This window comes from Homo sapiens, chromosome 5, assembly GCF_000001405.40.
Source record: "Homo sapiens chromosome 5, GRCh38.p14 Primary Assembly".
Classification (NCBI taxonomy): Eukaryota; Metazoa; Chordata; class Mammalia; order Primates; family Hominidae; genus Homo; species Homo sapiens.
This window is the reverse complement of record NC_000005.10, coordinates 175430155-175452086: the sequence shown is the minus strand read 5'-3', so window position 1 is coordinate 175452086 and position 21932 is coordinate 175430155. Positions and strand designations below refer to the sequence as shown.

Here is a 21932-nt window from a genome sequence, read left to right as displayed (position 1 = left end):
CAACGAAATCAAAGCTTATAGCAATTCTACATTGTGTTGTGCTAAAGGTATTTATCATTTATCACTGGGATATAAATTCTATGAGGACAGGGAGGTTTGTTTTGTTCACTGCTATGATCCCAACACCTAGAACAGTACCTGGCCAATAATAGGCACTCAAAAAATACTTAGGGAAGGCATGGTGGTGTTCGTAACCGTTCCATCCCTTCTCAAAGCATTGGCACTCCCCAAAGCCCCTAAAGACCAGGCTGAGCCAAATGGACCCTCTATGTCTCCTAAAAGTGAAGGATTTAGATGGGGGAAGATGAGAATGCTGGAACCGTAATGACAGGTGTGGCCAGGGCTAGATTTGATGCTATGGAGGGCCAGAGCCATGAACCAAGAGCAGTTTTGGGGTATTAAAGTATTACTGGACTAGTCTCCATTTCTAACCTCAGTTCTTCTTGCCTGATTAGATTCCTTTGCCTTTTTAGATTTAAAACCTAAAAAGTTGAGACTTAAATCTAAAAGTTGTGACTTTTCTTGATCTCTGCTTCCAGACAATATGGAATAACAGGGATTAGATTTGCCCTCCCACCAGATACAACCAATAATATGAACAAAATACATGTTTCTCCAGATATTGGATGTCAGGAAACAAAGGACAGCGATCCCCGAAAGATGGGGAAAAATGAGGTAAGACTTACTGTCACCCAGCTTACTGCCTCAAAAGATGGTCCAAGCCATGGCGCAGGGAGGGGGAATACAGGTGGAGTCCGGGAGACTCCCTGAGTTGGGTGAACAGAACTAAGGGTCCAGGGAGATCAAGACAACCAGAGGTCACAGAACAGAGTACTGCAAAGGAGAGACCTGCAGAGAAAGAGACAGAGAGAGAGAGAGAGAGAGAGAGAGAGAGGAGAGAGACAGAAAGGACTCCAGAGATCTTCAGAGAGTCCCCTTTGAGCGTTCAGCAGAGGACTAACCAGTACATGAGTGTGCAGAAATATAAGTGTGGAAATTATAAGGAACAGTATCTCAGTGTCTGGCACTGACACAGGGCCATGAACAGGGTTTGCCACCACCAGCCAGATACACTGAAAAAGAATCTTGCTTCCGTAACACAAAATAAATAACCCCAGATTAAACTCTGCTCTGGTTCTACCTAGCACCTCTTAAAAGCAATACCTGAATCCTTTTGTGGTTCATAAGCATGATGATTGGGTTTTCATGCTTATGTGTGTGATGTGCTGCCTTAAACCTTGTTACAGTGTCAGCACGTCACTCATCTGATGTGAGGAAAAAAAGGGGAAAAAAAGAACAAAAGAAAAAAGAGGGGAAAAAAGAAAGAAAAAGAAAAAAAGCAAGAACTGAAGGATCACATTATTTCCAAATAACTTAATTACGTTCTAGAGCAAAGCGCAAGAATATTTTTAAGAATAAAAAAGGCTAGCACCAACTAGATAAAATTTGCAATGTAGGGCATCCAAAAAAATTAGCAGGCATGAAAAGAATTAGACAAATATGACCCATAATGAAGAGAAAAATCAATTGAATGGACACAGAGGTTAGACTTAGCAAAGAAGGACATTAAAATAGTTATTATAACCATATTTCATATATTCAGAAACTTAAGTAGATACACAGGAAATTTAAAAAAGACATAAAATGAACTTTCAGAGAAGAAAACTACAAAATGTGAAATGAAAAATACACAGAATGAGATCTGACAACACATTAGACCTTGCAGAAGAAAAATGTTAGTTGACTCAAAAATATAACAATAGAAACTATCCAAAATGTAATACCGAGGGAAAAGAGAGTAAGGAGGAGAGAACTTGCTTCAGTGAGTTGGAGGCCAACTGCAAGCAGTCCATGCATTTGAAGAACCCAAAGAAGAGAATAAAAGGGGAAAAATTCAAAAAAAATATTTAGACCAGGTGCAGTGGCTCACGCCGGTAATCCCAACAGTTTGGTAGGCCAAAGTGGGCAGATCACTTGAGGTTAGGAATTCGAGACCAGCCTGGCCAACCTGCTGAAACCCCATCTTTACTAAAAATACAAAAATTAGCTGGGCATGGTGGTGTGCACCTGTAATCCCAGCTACTCAGGAGGCTGGGGCAGAAGAATCACTTGAGCCCAGGAGGCCAACATTGCAGTGAGCAGAGATTGTGCCACTGCACTCTAGCCTGAATGACAGAGTGAGACTCTGTCTCAAAAAAACAAAACAAAACAAAACAAAACAAAACAAAACAAAACAAAACAAAATTAAGGAATAATGACCAAAGTTTTCGAAATTTGACAAAAACTGTAAGCCTACAGATTAGAAAAACTCAACAAATCCCAAACGTGCTAAAGATTTGAAGAAAACTACTCTGAGGTAGATCTTGATCAAATTGCCCAAAACCAGTGATAAAGAAAAGAAAAATCTTAATAGCCAGAGGAAAGAAAGACATGCTATGTAGAGAAGGACAAAGATAAGGGTGATGGCAGATATTTTGTTGGAAACAATATAAATAAGAAGATAGCAGATCAACATCTGAAACCATTAAAATGAAAAATCTGTCCATCTAGAATTCTATATCTAGCAAAAATATCTTTCAAGAATGAAAGCAAAATGGATACTTTTTAGAGATATAAAAGCTGAAGAAAATCAACCACCAGCAGCCCTGCACTTCAGGAAATGTTAAAGGTAGTCCTTCTAGCAGAAAGTTGATCCCAGATGGCGATAGGGATCTATATAAAAAGGAAGAACATCAGAAATGGCACATGGGAAACATATAGTATTTATTTCTTATTACTTAGAGTTCTTTAAAAGAAAATTGACCATTTAAGAAGACTTGGAAGAATACTATTGTAGTGTTCTTAATGATATATGGAATGATATAATATCACTTGAATGCAGGCTTTGAAAAATATTACATATGTATATTGTAAAATATATATATGTGTATGTGTGTGTATATATATATATAGACAGAGAAATGATATAAACTCTAAAGCAACCATGAAAATAACAAAAAATATAGAAAATTAGCCAATAAAAAAGATGAAACGGAATTATAAAAACTACTCAGTTAAGCCTATAAAAGGCAGAAAAGAGGGGAAAAACGGAACGAAGAGCAGGTGCAACAATAGAAAACACATTATGCATGTTACACTACCCACCAACCACTGCAGAAACTGATATATATTGATTTTGAAATTTTAAAGTGTTGATTTTTGAATTGTATAACTATAGGAGGGGAAAATATGACATGGGATTAGGAATTTCAGAAAAGTTACATTTATTGTCTGAAACATGCATTCTAGTTACTTAGTCAGGTCGGCCAAACTTTATCTTCTTTTCACTAACATCGTAAGCTAATCATTTTGTGTATAAAGTCCGCTTTAATAATCCCAAAGAGTCTTAAATACATCATTTGATATACTTGACCGTTCTGTTGCTTTATTTAGTCTTTTATGAGATTAAGCTTCCCTTTGATAGTGTGCCTTCTGTATTCACTGACTTTTATATACTCCAAATAAAGATTTGTTGAAAAGCATCATTTTGACATCCTCCTCTTCGCAGTGCATAAATCACCCACAGTAGAGCTTAAAAGACACACTAAATTGGGAAACAAAGGTGCTTTTGTGTTGGGTTTACATTCTCAGCATGATCTAATACCTGATTGCATTTACATTTGTGTTCTTGAGGTTTGTGGGGGAGATTTTTATAGAACAAAATAGAAGGCTTTGTTTCACCGTAGCTTCAAATAAGAAAATAGGAAAAACTCCAAACCTCTAGCAAAACTGTAAGTTCCTCTGAAATTCACACTCTGTGCAAAGTGAAACACTGAGATTTCAGCTCCATTTTACTCTTTCCTGTTCTCTCAGCAATGACGTTCAAAAGCCAGTGACCTATGTCTGTTAGGAAGGAATCTCAGGCAGTGAGTTATAGAATGATAGACAAACTGGTCCAACCCTCTGGTTTTCCTGGTGATCTTAAACAAAATCACCTCCTTGGTTATTCTCAGGTTCTCTCCTTCTCTACCTGTTAGTCGTTTTTGCTTTGCTGGCTGGGTTTCTGAGCCTTTTTTGTATGTTATGATGTCTAGTCTGTTTTCTGCTACTGTAACAGAATACCACCAACTGGGTAAATTATAAACAATGTAAGTTTATTTGGCTCATAGTTCCTGGAGGCTGGGAAGTCTCAGATCGTGGGGTGGCATCATAACTTGGCAGAAGAAGAGACTACACAAGAGGCAGGGAGGGAATGGAGGCTGAACTTATCCTTTTATCAGGAGCTCTCTCCAGCAGTAACTAACCCACTCCAGAGATAACGAGATAATGGCATTAGTCCACCCAGGAGGGCAGAACCCTTTGGCCTAATCACCTCTTAAAGGTCCCAACTCTTAATCCTGTCACAATGGCAATTAAATTTCAACATGAGTTTTGGCAGAGACATTCAAACCATAGCATATGGGTAGGGAGGAGATTTAATATTGAAATGACAGAAATTTACTTGTGGTCAAGAAATAGCTCTCAATCACTACCAAAATGGTATGTGTTGATTTGATCACCTGGACTTGTCAGATAAATGGGTTGAGAGAAAAAGATAAAGGTCAGTATGGGCTAGTTTGAAATAATTTAGGTGATTTTTCAAGCAAAACAAAAAGGTTTTTTGAGCAGCTGGTGGGCTTGAGAGAAATGAGAATATGAAGTATGTTATGAATGTTCCTTTGAACAAAATTTTGATTAATATTTAAATGTTGTGTCAAATATTTTCCCACTGTTAAACTGCTGTTTTCTTGAGCATGATACCACCTGAAGCCCAGGTGTTGTGCTGTGTTTGTCATCCTTGTTTTTTAATTACAAGAGCAGTGGCATTGTTGTTGGCTCTGAGAAGACTTGGGAATTGGGGGCACTTCTGAAAGGCAGTCATTAGACAGAAATTTTATCCCTCAAATTGGCCTTATCCTTACCTCCAGAGTCTGCTATCTCGATTTTGGGGTGGCAGGGCAGGTAGTGTGTTCTTTTGAGGTTACTTCCTGAAGTACATTTTCTTGCCATATGGAATATTCCTATGGAGTCCTGCTTTGCCCAGTCCAATTCCACTGGCTCATTATCCCACAGATCAGGATCCTACCCGTTCCTGCTTTCCAAGGTTAATGCTGAATTTCTCCTACCTATTTTATTTCTGGGTAGTTTCAGTGGAAAATTGCAGATGCCAGGGTAGAATGTCAGGAGTTAAATGCTCAGGCTTACATGACAAGTCTCGAACCAGAAACATATCTTTAATTTGTGTTTATTAGTAAAAGGGAAAGAAAGAAAATGAAACAAAGTCAAGAAGTTTGGAGAATGACGGCCTTGGGGAAAGTGATCTGAAAGTGTTACGTTAAGCGTGACTTAGGGCTCTACAGAAATGCAGTTCTTGGGGAATGTGTGTGGCAACAATTGCGTCTCTGACCCCCAGTCTGTTGGACGCTGTGTGTGACGGCGAGGCCATGGGTGGGAGGAGACAGCTGTAAGCACAGGCACCGGAGGGTCTGTGCCAGCAATATGGTCCTTTCATCTTAAGCCAAGGTGCCAAAGGCCGGGCGCGATGGCTCACGCTTGTAATCCCAGCACTTGGGGAGGCCAAGGCCGGTGGATCACCTGAGGTCAGGAGTTCAAGACCAGGCTGGCCAACATGGTGAAACCCCATCTCTACTAAAAATACAAAAAATTAGCCGGATGTGGTGGCAGACATCTGTAATCCCAGCTACTTGGGCGGCTGAGGCAGGAGAAGCGCTTGAACCCTGGAGACGGAGGTTGCAGTGAGCTAAGATAGCACCATTACACTCCAGCCTGGGCGACAGAGCAAGACTCTGTCTCTAAATAAACAAACAACCAAAGTACAGTTTGTGCTGGCGAACTAAATGGAATTATTACTTTGGTTTAGGGTTTTTTTTTTTTTTCCCAGAGAAAATTCTTGCTTCTGATATGGTGCATGGCTGTTGTGGAGATTGGACTGTTAGTTTTTTTTTTTTTTTTTTTTTGAGACGGGGTCTCGCTCTGTCGCCCAGGCTGGGGTGCAGTGGCGCGATCTCGGCTCACTGCAAGCTCCGTCTACCGGGTTCACGCCATTCTCCTGCCTCAGCCTCCCGAGTAGCTGGGACTACAGGTGCCTGCCACCACGCCCGGCTAATTTTGTTTTGTATTTTTGCCGTTTTAGCCAGGATGGTCTCGATCTCCTGACCTCATGATCCGCCCTCCTCGGCCTCCCAAAGTGCTGGGATTACAGGCGTGAGCCACCGCGCTTGGCCTGGACTGTTGGTTTGTTAATGGGTCCCAGGGGTTCCTGCCTATGGAGGGCTGACGGGGTCCTAGGTTTGGTGCCAAGCCCTCTGGAAACACCGTCTCAGTTAATAGTTATGACAATCCTGTTATGTCCTCACCGTTTCACAGAGGAAGAACCCGAGCTCAGAGAGGAGAGAGTGCACATGCAGCCGACAGTGGCAGGGCAGGACCAGGAAGTCAGGCAGTGTGACTTGGGGGATCCATGCTTATTCTCCTCCCACCTTTCGGAAGGCACAGGAAGGCACCACAGTGTCGCAATTTATGCACAATTAGTGCAAAGTCTCACCTGTGAGCTTGCCTGGGGCAACCAGGGGAGGCTGGGGGCTCCTTCTCCACCAGGCCCCGCTGCCTCCATATGACTCTTCCCTGTATTTTAGCCCTGTAGGTAATTTTCCAGTTTGTGGGCTCCTGTACCACATGCGGTGAGTTAAAAGAACAGGTGGGCAGCGGCGCGGCTCCCGCGTGAGCTGTGTGACTTTGAGCAGGCCCCACTACCTTTCCGAGCCGCATTTCCACCTGGGCGAAGCGGGTTGAGCCGGCCTGGCGGGGAAAGATTCTTTTAACGGGGGAACAACGTAAGGCGTGCACCGGGGAACACGGATGCTGCTGAGTCAATGCCCGCTCTGCCGTTCTCTTTGAGAGTAAGGCTTGCGTCTCGCCTGCTCTAGCGCCCCAGGTTTGAACGCAGTGGGCGCGCAGGAGGAAACATAGATTCACGAATGCAATGCCAGCAAAGTAAAATTTTTCACCCTTGTCCGTTTTTCAGGGTGTTTCAAGCGGAGGAGTCCTGAGTGGAGAAGATTCCGCTTCCCTGTTTTCAGGTTCTGGCAGTCATGGACCGGGAAGAGCGAGTCGGGGCGCGGGTCCCTGGCGGTCGCTGGAACCCTTGTGAGTGAGGTTGGTGCCCGCGAGGGCACAGCGGGCGCTCGGGAAGTCGCAGCCGCCGGCAGAGGGCGCCCCGGGCACACGGAGCGCGCGGCGCTGGGGTTGGGGCGCTCGGGAGGTGCGGGGCACCGGCTGGAGTCCGGCGTTGACCGCAGCCGGGACGCGCCCGCCACCTGGGCGGGGAAGGAGTGAGTCCCCTCGGGGCGCAGCGGCGCGCGCTGGCCCGGATCCCAGCTGCGCCGCGCCCTCCCTGCGAGCGGTGAGTACAGGCGCCCACGGGCATCTCCAACCCTAGTTAGGGGACACTTGGAGACAACGCAGGTCGGACGTCCGCCGGCCGTTCTAGGAGTTGGTGTGCGGGGAATGGGGGGTGCTCCCGCTCGCTTAGGGCTTTGGGTCCGGCTAGGGGTTGACCCCAAGAGGCGCTGGATGTCGGGGCTGAGCTTTGCTTTCAGGGGACTCAAGCTTACTTGAGGTTCTGACATTGGATTTGCCTCGCGGGCCCTGCGCGTGCTGCGCGGGGATCCGGAGACTGGCGAGGTAACCAGGGAGGGCAAGCACTCACCGGGGCGTCCTCCGCCCACCTCGCCCGCAGAACCATCCAGGGGGACCACGTGCGGCTGTCGCCCGCAACTCTGCCTGTCAAGCGAGGACCGCCCCCAGGGCAGGGGAGGGGACGCGCGGGCGGGGTGGGCTGTGCCCCGCGGGAACCCCGCCGGCCTGTGCGCTTGCTGGTGCCAGCTCGGCTCGCTGCCTCGCATTGCCACAGGCTCCTGAGAGGTCGCGGGCAGTGCCTGCGGGGAGGCGCGGGGCCCTGCTCTGTAGGGCTGAAGGCCGCCCGAGGTTCGCCAAGGCTCTGGGCTCTCGAAAGGAAGCCAAGAAAAGAAGCTGCCCAGGTGACCAGTCCTGGGAGTGCTCTCTCCCAAGGAAGCTCCGAGCGCCCAGGAGCCCTTAGCCGGGGTCTAGTGCCCTTTGAACAATCTCCAGCTCTTCAAGGAAGTGGGCTGCCGCCGCCTCTCTTGGGACCTGGCCTGGGATCCTTTCCCCAAACGCACCCCGGCGATTTTTGCGCACCGGGAGCCGAACCCCTGCTGCGCGCAGCTGGCTGGGCTCAGGCGCGCTTCCTCAACGTTTCGGAGCCGCTGCCCCCAGCGAAGTCCACATTCCAAGCTCCAGGGGCTTTGAGAGAGACGACCCCAAGGCAAGGTAGGTGGCTCGGACGGGCTCGCCCTGGGAATTATTAGGTTGGGCTTGACGTGAGTAATGATGCCATCTGCTTAAGTCTTGGAGAAAGACCGTGTGTTTTCCTTTTGCTTTTTAAGGCGTTTGGAGAGCTGCTGAGGAGCCAGGGGCTTGGAGGAGCGAGAAGACATGTATTTTCAGCTGAGTCTCAGAAGGGGAGAATCTCCTGTCACCACCAGAAAAGCAACAGCCCCGAAATGTGATTGCAACTGACTAGCAGAGCAGAGGCCCAGGAGTCACTGGATTGATGATTTAGAATATGCTAAAAAGCCAGTGCTTTATTTGGGGAATTCAGGGGCTTTCTGGTGCCCAAGACAGTGACCTGCAGCAAGGGAGTCAGAAGACAGATGTAGAAATCAAGAGTGACCATCCACGGGATTGACTTGGATTGCCACTCAAGCGGTCCTCTCATGGAATGTTGGTGAGGCCCTCTGCCAGGGAAGCAATCTGGCTGTGCAAAGTGCTGCCTGGTGGGGAGGACTCCTGGAAATCTGACTGACCCCTATTCCCTGCTTGGGAACTTGAGGGGTGTCAGAGCCCCTGATGTGCTTTCTCTTAGGAAGATGAGGACTCTGAACACCTCTGCCATGGACGGGACTGGGCTGGTGGTGGAGAGGGACTTCTCTGTTCGTATCCTCACTGCCTGTTTCCTGTCGCTGCTCATCCTGTCCACGCTCCTGGGGAACACGCTGGTCTGTGCTGCCGTTATCAGGTTCCGACACCTGCGGTCCAAGGTGACCAACTTCTTTGTCATCTCCTTGGCTGTGTCAGATCTCTTGGTGGCCGTCCTGGTCATGCCCTGGAAGGCAGTGGCTGAGATTGCTGGCTTCTGGCCCTTTGGGTCCTTCTGTAACATCTGGGTGGCCTTTGACATCATGTGCTCCACTGCATCCATCCTCAACCTCTGTGTGATCAGCGTGGACAGGTATTGGGCTATCTCCAGCCCTTTCCGGTATGAGAGAAAGATGACCCCCAAGGCAGCCTTCATCCTGATCAGTGTGGCATGGACCTTGTCTGTACTCATCTCCTTCATCCCAGTGCAGCTCAGCTGGCACAAGGCAAAACCCACAAGCCCCTCTGATGGAAATGCCACTTCCCTGGCTGAGACCATAGACAACTGTGACTCCAGCCTCAGCAGGACATATGCCATCTCATCCTCTGTAATAAGCTTTTACATCCCTGTGGCCATCATGATTGTCACCTACACCAGGATCTACAGGATTGCTCAGAAACAAATACGGCGCATTGCGGCCTTGGAGAGGGCAGCAGTCCACGCCAAGAATTGCCAGACCACCACAGGTAATGGAAAGCCTGTCGAATGTTCTCAACCGGAAAGTTCTTTTAAGATGTCCTTCAAAAGAGAAACTAAAGTCCTGAAGACTCTGTCGGTGATCATGGGTGTGTTTGTGTGCTGTTGGCTACCTTTCTTCATCTTGAACTGCATTTTGCCCTTCTGTGGGTCTGGGGAGACGCAGCCCTTCTGCATTGATTCCAACACCTTTGACGTGTTTGTGTGGTTTGGGTGGGCTAATTCATCCTTGAACCCCATCATTTATGCCTTTAATGCTGATTTTCGGAAGGCATTTTCAACCCTCTTAGGATGCTACAGACTTTGCCCTGCGACGAATAATGCCATAGAGACGGTGAGTATCAATAACAATGGGGCCGCGATGTTTTCCAGCCATCATGAGCCACGAGGCTCCATCTCCAAGGAGTGCAATCTGGTTTACCTGATCCCACATGCTGTGGGCTCCTCTGAGGACCTGAAAAAGGAGGAGGCAGCTGGCATCGCCAGACCCTTGGAGAAGCTGTCCCCAGCCCTATCAGTCATATTGGACTATGACACTGACGTCTCTCTGGAGAAGATCCAACCCATCACACAAAACGGTCAGCACCCAACCTGAACTCGCAGATGAATCCTGCCACACATGCTCATCCCAAAAGCTAGAGGAGATTGCTCTGGGGCTTGCTATTAAGAAACTAAGGTACGGTGAGACTCTGAGGTGTCAGGAGAGCCCTCTGCTGCTTTCCAACACACAATTAACTCCGTTTCCAAATACATTCCAGTGTATTTTCTGTGTTGTTCATAGTCAATCAAACAGGGACACTACAAACATGGGGAGCCATAAGGGACATGTCTTTGGCTTCAGAATTGTTTTTAGAAATTTATTCTTATCTTAGGATTTACCAAATAGGGCAAAGAATCAACAGTGAACAGCTTCACTTAAAATCAAATTTTTCTGGGAAGAAAATGAGATGGGTTGAGTTTGCTGTATACAAACAGGTGCTAACACTGTTCCCAGCAAAGTTTTCAGATTGTAAAGGTAGGTGCATGCCTTCATAAATTATTTCTAAAACATTAATTGAGGCTTACAGTAGGAGTGAGAAATTTTTTTCCAGAATTGAGAGATGTTTTGTTGATATTGGTTCTATTTATTTATTGTATATATGGATATTTTTAATTTATGATATAATAAATATATATTTATCATATTTAATAGGATAAATTAATGAGTTTTATCCAAGACCTTACAACCACATTTCTGGCCATTTAACTAGCACTTTATAAGCCAATGAAGCAAACACACAGACTCTGTGAGATTCTAAATGTTCATGTGTAACTTCTAGAAACACAGCAGAAACTGATAGATAAGGGAATAAAGTTGAAATGATTCCTTAAAATTCATGGACACAGATAAATGCAAGGTGAGAATTGACAAATGCTATAAATGCTTTCTTTTTCTGAAAAGATTTTGAAAAATTTAAAAAAGTATAGCTACTACTGTGTTCAAAACGTTTTAAATGACAAATGACTTTCCCAGGGGAATTTGCAGTTCTGTAAATATCTTAAATAAAAGCCAACTTAAGAAGAGCCCAGCATTAAATTTACGATCTTAGGTGGTAATGAAAAGTATATGCTGCTTTGTATTTATGTAAAATAATTGGCCCTCTCCATCTTTTCTCATTTCATGTGTCAGGTAGTTTTTCTGAACCACACAAATGGCTTTCCTGGAGAGAGATCTGTAGCACAGACAGTGGGTTACAGCAGCCCCACTGAGGGACCAAACTCAAACCCTGCATTTCCATCTTACCAGGTCAAACCAAACCAGTCAGTGGGGCTACTTTTTATAGTGCTTTAATCTGAATTTAGAGCTGATTTTTAAAGGAGTCTTTAAATGTTAATGGTATACTAACTAACGAATAGTGCCTCATTATCATTCTTGAGTCAGATACTTCTGTTGATGGGAGAAACAGAAGAATCCTTCCCTTTGGGTGTGTTGAGCTCCCCCAAAGCCATCAGCATCTCTTTTGACAAATGCTAGTCCTTTCTCTGTGCTTTGGAATCAGGTTCCTGCATCATCACCCGGACTGTAAAAAGTATCATAAGCCTCCCTTGCCAGATGCCAACTCGTGGGGCATTTCAACAGAGTTTCTTTGAAATGTTTACAACGTATTCTTCTTGATAAGCAATGAACTTAACATTTAGATGCAATCCGTGAAAAGAAAAAAAAATCTGAAAAATATCTCCTGCATCAGGTCTGTGTTATTTATGTATTGTGAATGTTTTCTTAATTTTATTGGCTGTATGCTTTCTTACACATAATAAAAATATTTTGTGAACTCAAATCAACCCTGAATGAGCTGTGTTGCATTTGCTAAATGTGTTTTTAAAACTAGAACATTTCAGATCTACAAGGAAGAAAACACAGGCATTTTCAAGTATATATTACTTTTTTTTTCTTTAATGGAAGTTTCTTCAGTTATGTATGGCACATGTTGCCTTCGAATATTTAAAGTGAAAATGTTTTCTGATTTGGGCTATGTGCTATTTTTCCTTCTGTCTTCATAATTTTTTTTTGAAAAAAGGAATTACTTGAGGAATTATTTTACTTTTCATTTCACAGATTTTAAAACTTTCTAAAATCTCTGCTTTTTCTTTCAAAAAGCCTATTTTAAAGAAAATAAAAATTTCAGAAAAGACCATGGCTTGCTATTGGGTTGGGTTGTTGTAGCCTCTCAGCTGATGGCAACCACTGTACATGTGATGGTTGTTTTAAAAGTAAAATATAACAATTTTTTTTTCTGGAGAAAATATACAGGTTGTGATGCTGAGCTTATCAAAACGTCTTATGAGGCACATCCGTAGGTCCTGCCAAAGCTACTCAGTTAATATGCTAAGCCATTTTTCTCCCCCTGTACTGAGGAAAGAGAACAGCGGAACAGCAGGTGACATAGAAATTAAGGGTTAAGTTTACAATTTGGAACATCACATAACAGATGGTGTCTTTTTAAATTCTGTATTTGCCTTCTCTGGGCTTTGGCATATAATGAACATACCTAGAATGAGCACCCAAAAAGCATGATGCTTTTTCTTTCTGTTTCATAACTTTATGGATATCTTTTTTCTTTGAAGCCTAATTTTGTTCTTAAATTAGAAGCTCAGCAACACAAGCTACAATGCTCAGGCAGAATTGTCAAACCCATGAAATATGAGCCTTTACCATTTATCTCCTTGGCAAAAGAGTGCAAATGAATGATATGTCTAGAAATTATGTTCAATAATTATAAAATTCAATACACCTTCAATGAGACTACTTTGGATTCCTGGCATATTGGATTGATAAAGGGCATCTTACGAAATGTTAATTTTACTCAAAGAACCTTTCGGAGAATTTGATTTATAATTATAAAAGCGAAATTACAAGATGACTTTCACTTCATTTTTAACTGTATTGGTGAGCCTTAATAATGCTAAATATATGTGAAACACTTTACCAAGATTAAGACAACTTGAAAGAGGTGCTTTTTTCCCCTCTCCGTCCAAGAAGACATCTTTCCTAATCAACTAGATACACAGCTCTTATTGGTAACTGACACAGCAGGAAGTTTTGTGGAAGTGGGGACTGAGCACCGGGCTTCAATGCGTAGGGTAGGTTTCATTCAGGAAAGTGACTGGTTTCTCTTGGCATCTGAGCAAGTCATGCTTTCTGAGCCTCAGTTATCCTGATCCATTAAATGGGAGGAGCAAAACCTCTGCATTAACTTTCTCATTGGGGGTGTTGCCCCCCAAAGCAAATTGATATGTAGTCTAACTTCAGTGACTTTCTGAACTCTCCACTCTCTGGGGGCTCCATCATGATTTATCTCCAGGCCTGCACCAGCAGCATTTCAGCCACTCTTTCCCCCAGAGCCAGCCCACAGTTGAGGGCCTGGAATGCAAAAAAGCTCAGGCTTTGTTTCAGGCAGGGGAGGGCTGACATTTCAGATAGGAATTGCAACTACCTGTGTGAGCATAGCCCTATGCCTTTGCCTCTCAGCCTGTTTGCCCATTTGTGAAATGGAAATAAATATGCAGGTTCTTGGGAGGGTTAAAATGAAGTTAATGCCTATAAGAGCTCTGAGCACTGAGAAGTGCTCACTGATTCTTTGCAAGATCTCTATTCTGAAGGGGTTAATCACAATATTTGTTGCATTAGTAATAATGGATTTGCTATATACTTGATTTGTTGCATGTTTGCTTAAAGCAAATGGAAATGACTTTCAGAGTACAGGTGGTTTGGGATTTTCCCAGACACTATTGTCTTTTGCTGTGGTTATCTGGTATTCCAAAAGCAAGTGGCTTTTTATATCTGCGTGGTTAAGAAAATTGCTTTAAGTTACCACTAGATACTGATTGAATAAATCTATCCACAACATTTTCTTCTTAAAATGTCTTTATCTTGTAGAATTTGTTTCAGGAGTAATAAATCAGTTGATGGCCTGCCGGCTGTTAAATTTAGGACTTACTGCTTTGCACGATCTGGTTACTTCGGTCATGAGAAGGATTGAGCCCTCTGGGCTATGAAATTGTAGTACTATATAGGTAAGATGCAACTCTATGGATATGTTTGAGACTTCCTGGATATGAACGATGACAAATCAACCTGTTTATTTTATGGAGGATTGAGAAGATGGTGAGCATTCTAGCACAGACAAAACCTCCAGGATTTTGTTAGCAGGCCAATCTATGTTGCCTTCTGTCACGTTAAGTAACTTCCGTGTGATGCACAGAATTTAAAAAGCAGCATTTGGACTTTAGTCTGTTACATCATTCAAGATTTGGGAGTTGTAATTTAAATAGTATTAGAAGCTCAAGAATAATCTCTGATTTAAAAGGGTTTAACTTTCTAATCACTATGAGAAAATATACAAAGCCAGTTGGAATTTTTCTCATGCTCATAGAATACAGACTCTACCAGCTTTCAAAATGGGTAAATGTTTTCAGCCATTGAAAAGGGTCTACCCTGAGCTGTGTACTCAGAAGTGATACTACTTCTTATGCTTCCACTGGCAGAAATGCTAGCAAAATGGTAGTGGTGGTGGGACCTAGGAAGGCTGAATTGTAGGGCAAGATGTTCCATTTCATTTAAAAAAAAAATGGACAGGCTGCTTTACATCCCTTGAAAATAAGGTGGGGGTTTGGTCTCTACAACAAGGAGGTTAGATAAGATGCTTTCTAAGATATTTTCTGGCTTAGAAATAGGAGATATATGGCTAACACCGTGAAACCCTGTCTCTACTAAAAATACAAAAAATTAGCCGGGCGTGGTGGTGCATGCCTGTAGTCCCAGCTACTCGGGAGGCTGAGGCAGGAGAATCGTTTGAACCTGGGAAGCAGAGGTTGCAGTGAGCCGAGATTGGCCACTGCACTCCAACCTGGGTGACAGAGCAAGACTCCGTCTCAAAAAAAAAAAAGGAAAGAAAAGAAAAGAAGTAGGAGGTATAAAATCTATTATAGGCAAAATATGACTCTGATAGTTCCCCCGCTGTGTTTCTCAAGTGCCCATTCTCTTTGCTTTCAGAAAGCTAACAGAGGGATATTTACAAAATGCAAATTTGATGGCTATGCCATTGCTTAACATTCTTCGATGGCTCCTGATTACTTTTAGTAAAAAAATAAAGTTCATTCAGGGCCTTTCATGATCCTGCCTCTGGTGGCCTCTGCAGCCTCGTCTATTGCTACCACCCCAGCGGCACCACCCTGCAGGCATTGTGAGCTTCGTCCAGTTTGTGGAGTCCTTTCCTGTCCTTAGGCCTCTGTGCTTGCCGCTCCCTGACCTGGGGCGCCCTTCCCTGTTGCCTCTGTCTGTCCACTCTGACTCAGTCAGGCATCAACGTCAGAATTCTTCCTTGACGCCTTCTTCCCAGCTCTACTCCCTAATTTCTTCCCAAGGGCTTACCACATTGTCATGAAGTGATCTCCTTACTTCCTTATTATTTTCCCTAAATTATGTGCATATGAGGGCAAAAGCTATTTTATTTTTTCCCTCTTCTCTTTGTATATTCCTAAGCCTCTGACACACTGCCTGGCTTATAGGAGTTGCTTATTAAGTCTTTGTTAAATGAATGAAAGAATGAACAAGTCAAAGTAAGGAATGCTGGAGTCACAATTTCAGTGAAGTTTATTTCTGGGTGCTTGATGTATTTGTGTAAGTCTGCTAGGCTTTCTCTAAAGTCTTTGGGTACAACTTCCACATGATTTCTGAGGCTTGCAGTTCCCTAGAGTGACATGGTTGTATAGAGGTAATTGCATATATATATATATATTGCAATTATATATATATATTGCATAATATATATACACATATATATGTATTGCATAATATATATATTGAATCATATATATACATATACACACATATGTATGTGTATGCATATATGTACATGTATATGTATGTATATGTCTCTAAGTACCTATGCATATCATATATGATATATATGCATAGGTACTTAGAGACATATACATACATATACATGTACATATATGCATACACATACTAGTCTTAGAGGAGAAAGACACATATGCAAATAAACCATCACCAAAAAATGTTTTGAAAGTATGATGTAAGGAGAAGGAGTTTTTTTTTTCCAGGTAATGCCACTAATTCAATTTTACCGAGCCTTGATAACCACATGCCCTGCATTGTGTCAAGCACTATGCATTCCTTATTTCATTCCATTCTTATACTTATCCTACGAGGTGGGCGCAATTATCATCATTGCTATCTTACAGATCATAATTAATATTGAGAGAGGGCATGTAATGTGTTCAAGGTCACACAGCTGGTAAATGATGGGGCCAGCTCTGAATTTAGGCTCTCTGACTTGAAAGCCTATAGTTTTAATCAAGAATCTGTTTACCAGGAAATAGTCCTAACCAAACAAGGACTTCCTAAGAGGGTCCCAAATATCTCAAATACTGTGCCTTAAAAAATTCTTATTATTATTGACATTTTTCAAGGATATACAAAAAGTAGAGAGAATGGTTTTATAAACTGTGAACGAGCTGTGAACATTACCCAGTTGTGAACATTAGCAACACTGAGGTTGATGGTCTTTGAAAGAATTAAGTGAGCAAGGACAACAGGAAGCTTCTGTCTTTGGGTAGAGTGTAAGAAAACGTTTGAGACATTTAAATTTCAAAAACACGGCCTTGTGGAGTTCAAAGATAACAAAACAGGGAGATGGCTTACTCAAGGGCTGAAACATTCCTATGTTTGCAGATCAATTCAATCAGGGTACACTTTATTTCAGCAAGCATTTACCTACACTTGCCTGGTGCTTTTGGAGAGGGACATGAGAGGGTAAAGGCAGGATGGGGAAGATGGGAGAGTGTTGCTGGCAGAGCATGGGAACCGAGCACAGGGCTGGGAAGGAAGTGGCATTGGAGGTGGGCTTGAAGGACGGACAGAGCTTTGACAGGTGGAAAGAGACAGGGAATGAGGAGAGCTGGGGTGGGAGCTCCAGCGCCTGAAAACATGGGACTGGGAAGTGGGTGCTAGATGGATTTTCTGGATATAGGCCGTGAAGTGGAGACGAATTTAAATATATTAGGTTTGATCCAAATGGGGACTTACAGGCTGCCAAATTAGTGGCTTTGGGGTGATCTCTACCCTCTGCAGAAGCCCCTTCTTGGTCACCTGAAGAATTAACCAGATGATTTCCCGATAGCCCCAGGGTGTGAGCATGCCCTTCCCTTCTGCAAACTCTCTCCAGCTGTGCTCATCTGCCCATTGCTCTCAAAGGCATACTGGTGGCACCTCTTTGCTTTTCTTCCAAATGGGACACCCTTCCTCCTTGTCGTCCTCATCTGTTTGAGACTCATTTCAAGTGTAGGCCTCAGAGCTGGAATCCTTCCCTCCAGACTACAGCCCCTTGCAGGACATCCGTCTTGTCCTGTGTGCTGTTTGGTTCCCGTTCTCTCCAGTGAGTGAGGCAGCCCTTGGAGGGCTCAGTGTGTCCTTTTCAACACTGTATTCCAGCACCCAGCATGGCCTGGCATGCAATAGCCATCCAAGTTAATATTTTAGTTCATTAGATGAATAAGTGAATTGATAACTTTATGAAAAGTTTAGGGTAGGTGCTTATTATACACAAACCTTAATTTTTGTTGTGGCATTGACTCTGCTGAGTTTATAAGGGCTGATCCTTTCTGCTAAATTAGGTTTCTCCATCACTGACACAATCACAGGAAAAATAATTGAAATAGTGTTTAAATGGCAAACTAGGGCTCTCTCTCATGGGGATGTGCCTGGATGGCAATCAACCCTTTTACCCAGGAGAGAGAGGAAATGTCAACCGAATGTCACAAATGCGCTCCCAGATTATCTAGCCACATGCACGCTGTTTTGAGATTGAGTTTTTAGGACAGATGTATTTAGCATTATAAACATGTTGACTGTAATTAAGATAATGGTCAGCCCCATTTGTAAGATGCTTCTTTAATGCACACTGCTGTTTACTGTTAAATGGTTGAGGGGGGGTGTCAGGGGAGACAGTGCTCCACACTAATTCTGCTGAAACAGCTGTGGGTTTTTACTTGCTGTAAAACAGTATGTTCCTGACTGGCAAAGGAGAGGATTAAAGAGGATCCAGTCCAGGGGCAATAAGGTGAGGGTTCTAGTTTGTTTAACAAGACTGGTCATAATACCTTCAAGGCAAGAGCAAATTGGCATGCCATTTTTAGAAAGCTTTCATTGGTACTAATAACATTGCTTGCTCCTAGGGTCATGACATTTAGAATGTCACACTTGGATGAGGTTCCACTGACTAGCAGAACTTCTGGGTTAGAGGCAAGAAACAGACACTTTCCTGCTCTATTCATAGCAGCGTAAATGGATATGGACAAGTGCAAGGGGGATTTGGCTAGGACAACCAAACTTTAAAGCATGCACACAATTTGGCTCAGCAATCCCACTTCCATGAATCTCTTTTGCATGCCTCCTCACCTATGTGCTCAGAGATGTGTGTGTAAAGGATGCACACTGCAGCCTTGCTTGTGAAAGTCAACTGAAGACAACCCAAGTGTCCAGCAGGAGGGGAATGAATTACTAAAATGTACATTGTTGCTAGTATGCGGTAGTTTAAAAGAAAGGTAGATCCATAAGCATAGTTAAGAAAGAACTTTCAGAGCATATTAGTGAAAAAACAAGTTGTCAAGCAATACAGTTCCTTTTATTTCAAAAAGTGTAAGAAGTATATATTTCTTAATGTAAATACATAGAAAAAGATGTAGAAAAGTGCCTACCCACCTGAATAATGGAAACAAATAATAAATAAATAAATGTGGGTGCATAGACAGATCTCCCATGCAGAAGAATTCCAAATAATTTATGTAGGTAAGTCCCAGTCCTCAAGTGTAAGCTCCACCCCGTGACTGTGCACCTCTGTGGTATCTCTCAGGAGAAGAGTGAGGTTTGGGGAGAACCAAGGCGGGGAGGCCTTAACGTTTTACTTTGTATATTTCTTGCTTTTTACAAGAATCTTGTGTTTACGTGTATCGTAGGTTTAATTAAAATAAAATTATTAGAGAAGCATGCTGGACTGGGTGTTAGGCAGGAAGAGCTCCAGCTGTGGTTGCTTTGCTGGCGGGGTTGGGACGAGGGTGCTGAGTCCCTGAAAGAAGGTACAGTCTTGAGCACTGTGTGTGTTTCTGAGCTCACCTGTGCACATCTCTGGCTTGATCATCAGTGCCTAGTTTGGCTGAGGCTGGCTGGGACTGGGGCCTGGCTTGTAGAGGCTCAGCTGACCAGTGCAGATCATAGGGTTACAGGGCCTGCCCTGCTCCCAGCCCTTGCCCTTTCCCCCAGGACATGACTTTCACCACTACGTGGAGGTCTTACACAAAGGGACCCTTTTACTGAGCTTCCTCAGAGTCCATATTTGCAATAATGCTGATGAAATGCATCTCATTTGGAAAATAATGCACTGTGTGCCCTTCTTATAAGTTCAATCATTTTCTCTGTTCAGCTTTTGGGAAATGATGAAACACACCCACAAGGGGGTCCTTGGGGACTCCAGGTTGGGGATCATTAGTGGGAACAGGTCCGAAATCCTAGAAGTTGACACAAAGTGGCTCTTCGCAGGGGCCTGCCTTGTTTTAAGACCTTCATAGACCTCAACTACGCTTACTTTTGGTGCCACATTGCAAATCAGATCAAACATATTAAAATGCTCCCACCTCGTTCTTAAATATATACATATATATATTTGCTGCAAAAAAGAAGGATTTTTAGATGTTGTTTGTGAAATTGTTCTTAATTTTAATTTTGCAGTCCTTTTGTCATATTTTGGAGCCAATGCATTTCCCCTCAGGTCAGTTTTGGATATTTTATTAATGGTAAAAGCTCAGAGCCCTGGAGACTTCTAGTACCCTGGCTCTGAAAAAAACCACAGCAAGAATTTTCTCCAAGTTTTGAGAGCAAAGATGTCAGGTGCTACTGGACACAGCAGGAATGACCACTGCCATTTTCCCGATTGAATTCTCTAGGTTTTCTAGCTTGGTTGCTGTTGCTCAAATGTTTAAGAGCCTCTTCTAAAAAGCAGTCTACATCGTGACATCAACCACTTCTGATTATTTTGAAACTGAAAAACACTCCAGTGTTTGTTCTTAGGTTTAACCTTTTGGGAGGTTTTCAAATTCTATTTTTCTCATCATTGACATAGATATTAAATGTTTTGTGATATTTTTATGTTAAATGTTCCCACAGGCTCCTAATTATAGATGTTTCCAGAGAATAGCAATGAAGGCTTCAAGTTCTAAATCCAAGGTTTGAGGATCAAATTTTTAGGGCAGTATTGAGGGAGGAATACTCAGAAAGAGTATTCAGAAGGAGGAAGAAATTTAAGTGTAAAGCATCAGACTGTATAACCTGCAAAAGATTAGAAGAATGAGTCAAATGCAGAGGGGCCTCAGAGGTGAGATACTCAATCAGGGAGCATTGCTAATATGTAGTCAATTGTAGACAGAGATTGGTAAATGAGGTTAAGTGATTTCAAACACAAGTTTGTATAGGAGAACGTCTTTGCGGACCTCTTCTTAGAGCATCAGTTCCTGAGTGGCCGACTGCTTTGGCCAGACTAAGTTTGCATGTCATGAGACCTCTGCTCACACTCACTCTACATTCACAGGAATGAGCATAAAGAGTCAACAGTCAGCTTGATTTTTCTTGTTTTTCTCCCTGACAGTTATTAAACTACTGATGTGCATTTAATAGAGATTTCAAATTCAACAGAGAAGGAGGTGGGCATGGAGGGAGGGAGAGAGGGCACGGAGGAGGAGAGGAGAGCTGGCGGAGGAGAGAGCTTGGGGTTTGTCAAGAAATATGGGCTACCAGTTTACGTTTTTTAAATGCAAGTTTTGGCTAGGCGCGGTGACTCATGCCTGTAATCCCAGCACTTTGGGAGGCTGAGGCAGGCGGGTCACCTGAAGCCAGGAGTTCGAGACCAGCCTGGCCAACATGGTGAAACCCCATTTCTACAAAAATACAAAAGAAAACAATTAGCCAGGCATGATGGCAGGTGCCTGTAATCCCAGCTACTCGGGAGGCTGAGGCAGGAAAATTGCTTGAACCCAGGAAGTGGAGATTGCACTGGACTTTAGCCTGGGCGACAGAATGAGACTCTGTCTCAAAAAATAAAAAATAAAAAACAAACAAAAACTAAAAGCAAGTTTGTATTATAGGATAGATTTAGATTTACAGAAAAGCTGCAAGGGTAGTATGGAGAGTTCCCATAGACACCACACCCAGTTTCCCTTATTGGTAACACCTTACGCTAATATGGTGTCAGTGAACTAATATTGATATATTATTAATTAAAATCCATATCTTGTTTACATTTCTTTCGTTTTCCCCTAAAGTCTTTTTTTCCATTCCAGGATCCCATTCAGGACAGCACATTACATTTAGTCATACATTCTCAGGGTCCTCTTGGCTGTGACAGTTTCTCAGATTTTTCTTATTTGGATGACTTTGACAGTTTTGAGGAGTAGTGGTCATTTGTAGATTGTCCCTAAGTTGGGATTTGTCTGCTTTTCTCATAATTAGACTGAGGTTATGGGGTTTTGGAAGGAAGATTGCCGAGCCATTTTTATCACATCATATCAAGGATGTATACTATCAACATGACTTATTACCTTTGATCACCTGGCTGAAATAGTGTTTATCAGGTTTCTCCACTGTAAAGTT

The 21932-nt window shown here is 43.3% G+C and overlaps 1 protein-coding gene and 1 non-coding gene across 2 annotated transcripts, besides 3 other annotated features; both read left to right on the top strand.

Annotated features, from left to right (window-relative positions):
- Window positions 1–1168: 1168 nt before the first annotated feature.
- On the top strand, window positions 1169–1271 carry LOC124901204 (small nucleolar RNA U13). Its single transcript, XR_007059168.1, has one exon. It is a non-coding gene; the product is annotated as a small nucleolar RNA U13 (small nucleolar RNA).
- Window positions 7264–7353: a silencer, noted in NCBI's record as "silent region_16643". NCBI's record gives its function as "represses an Ori minimal core promoter by ATAC-STARR-seq in GM12878 lymphoblastoid cells {active_cell/tissue: GM12878}" and the evidence as "EXISTENCE:reporter gene assay evidence [ECO:0000049][PMID:35858748]".
- DRD1 (dopamine receptor D1) lies at window positions 7905–12051 on the top strand. Its single transcript, NM_000794.5, has 2 exons — window positions 7905–8388; window positions 8505–12051. Exon 2 carries the CDS (start codon window positions 8988–8990, stop codon window positions 10326–10328), a length of 1341 nt encoding a protein of 446 aa, NP_000785.1. The 5' UTR covers window positions 7905–8388; window positions 8505–8987; the 3' UTR covers window positions 10329–12051.
- Window positions 14993–15497: an enhancer, noted in NCBI's record as "OCT4-NANOG-H3K4me1 hESC enhancer chr5:174863593-174864097 (GRCh37/hg19 assembly coordinates)". NCBI's record gives its function as "activates a minimal SCP1, AML or CMV promoter by ChIP-STARR-seq in naive and primed H9 embryonic stem cells {active_cell/tissue: H9 hESC(naive and primed)}" and the evidence as "EXISTENCE:reporter gene assay evidence [ECO:0000049][PMID:30033119]".
- Window positions 16608–17211: an enhancer, noted in NCBI's record as "NANOG-H3K4me1 hESC enhancer chr5:174861879-174862482 (GRCh37/hg19 assembly coordinates)". NCBI's record gives its function as "activates a minimal SCP1, AML or CMV promoter by ChIP-STARR-seq in naive H9 embryonic stem cells {active_cell/tissue: H9 hESC(naive)}" and the evidence as "EXISTENCE:reporter gene assay evidence [ECO:0000049][PMID:30033119]".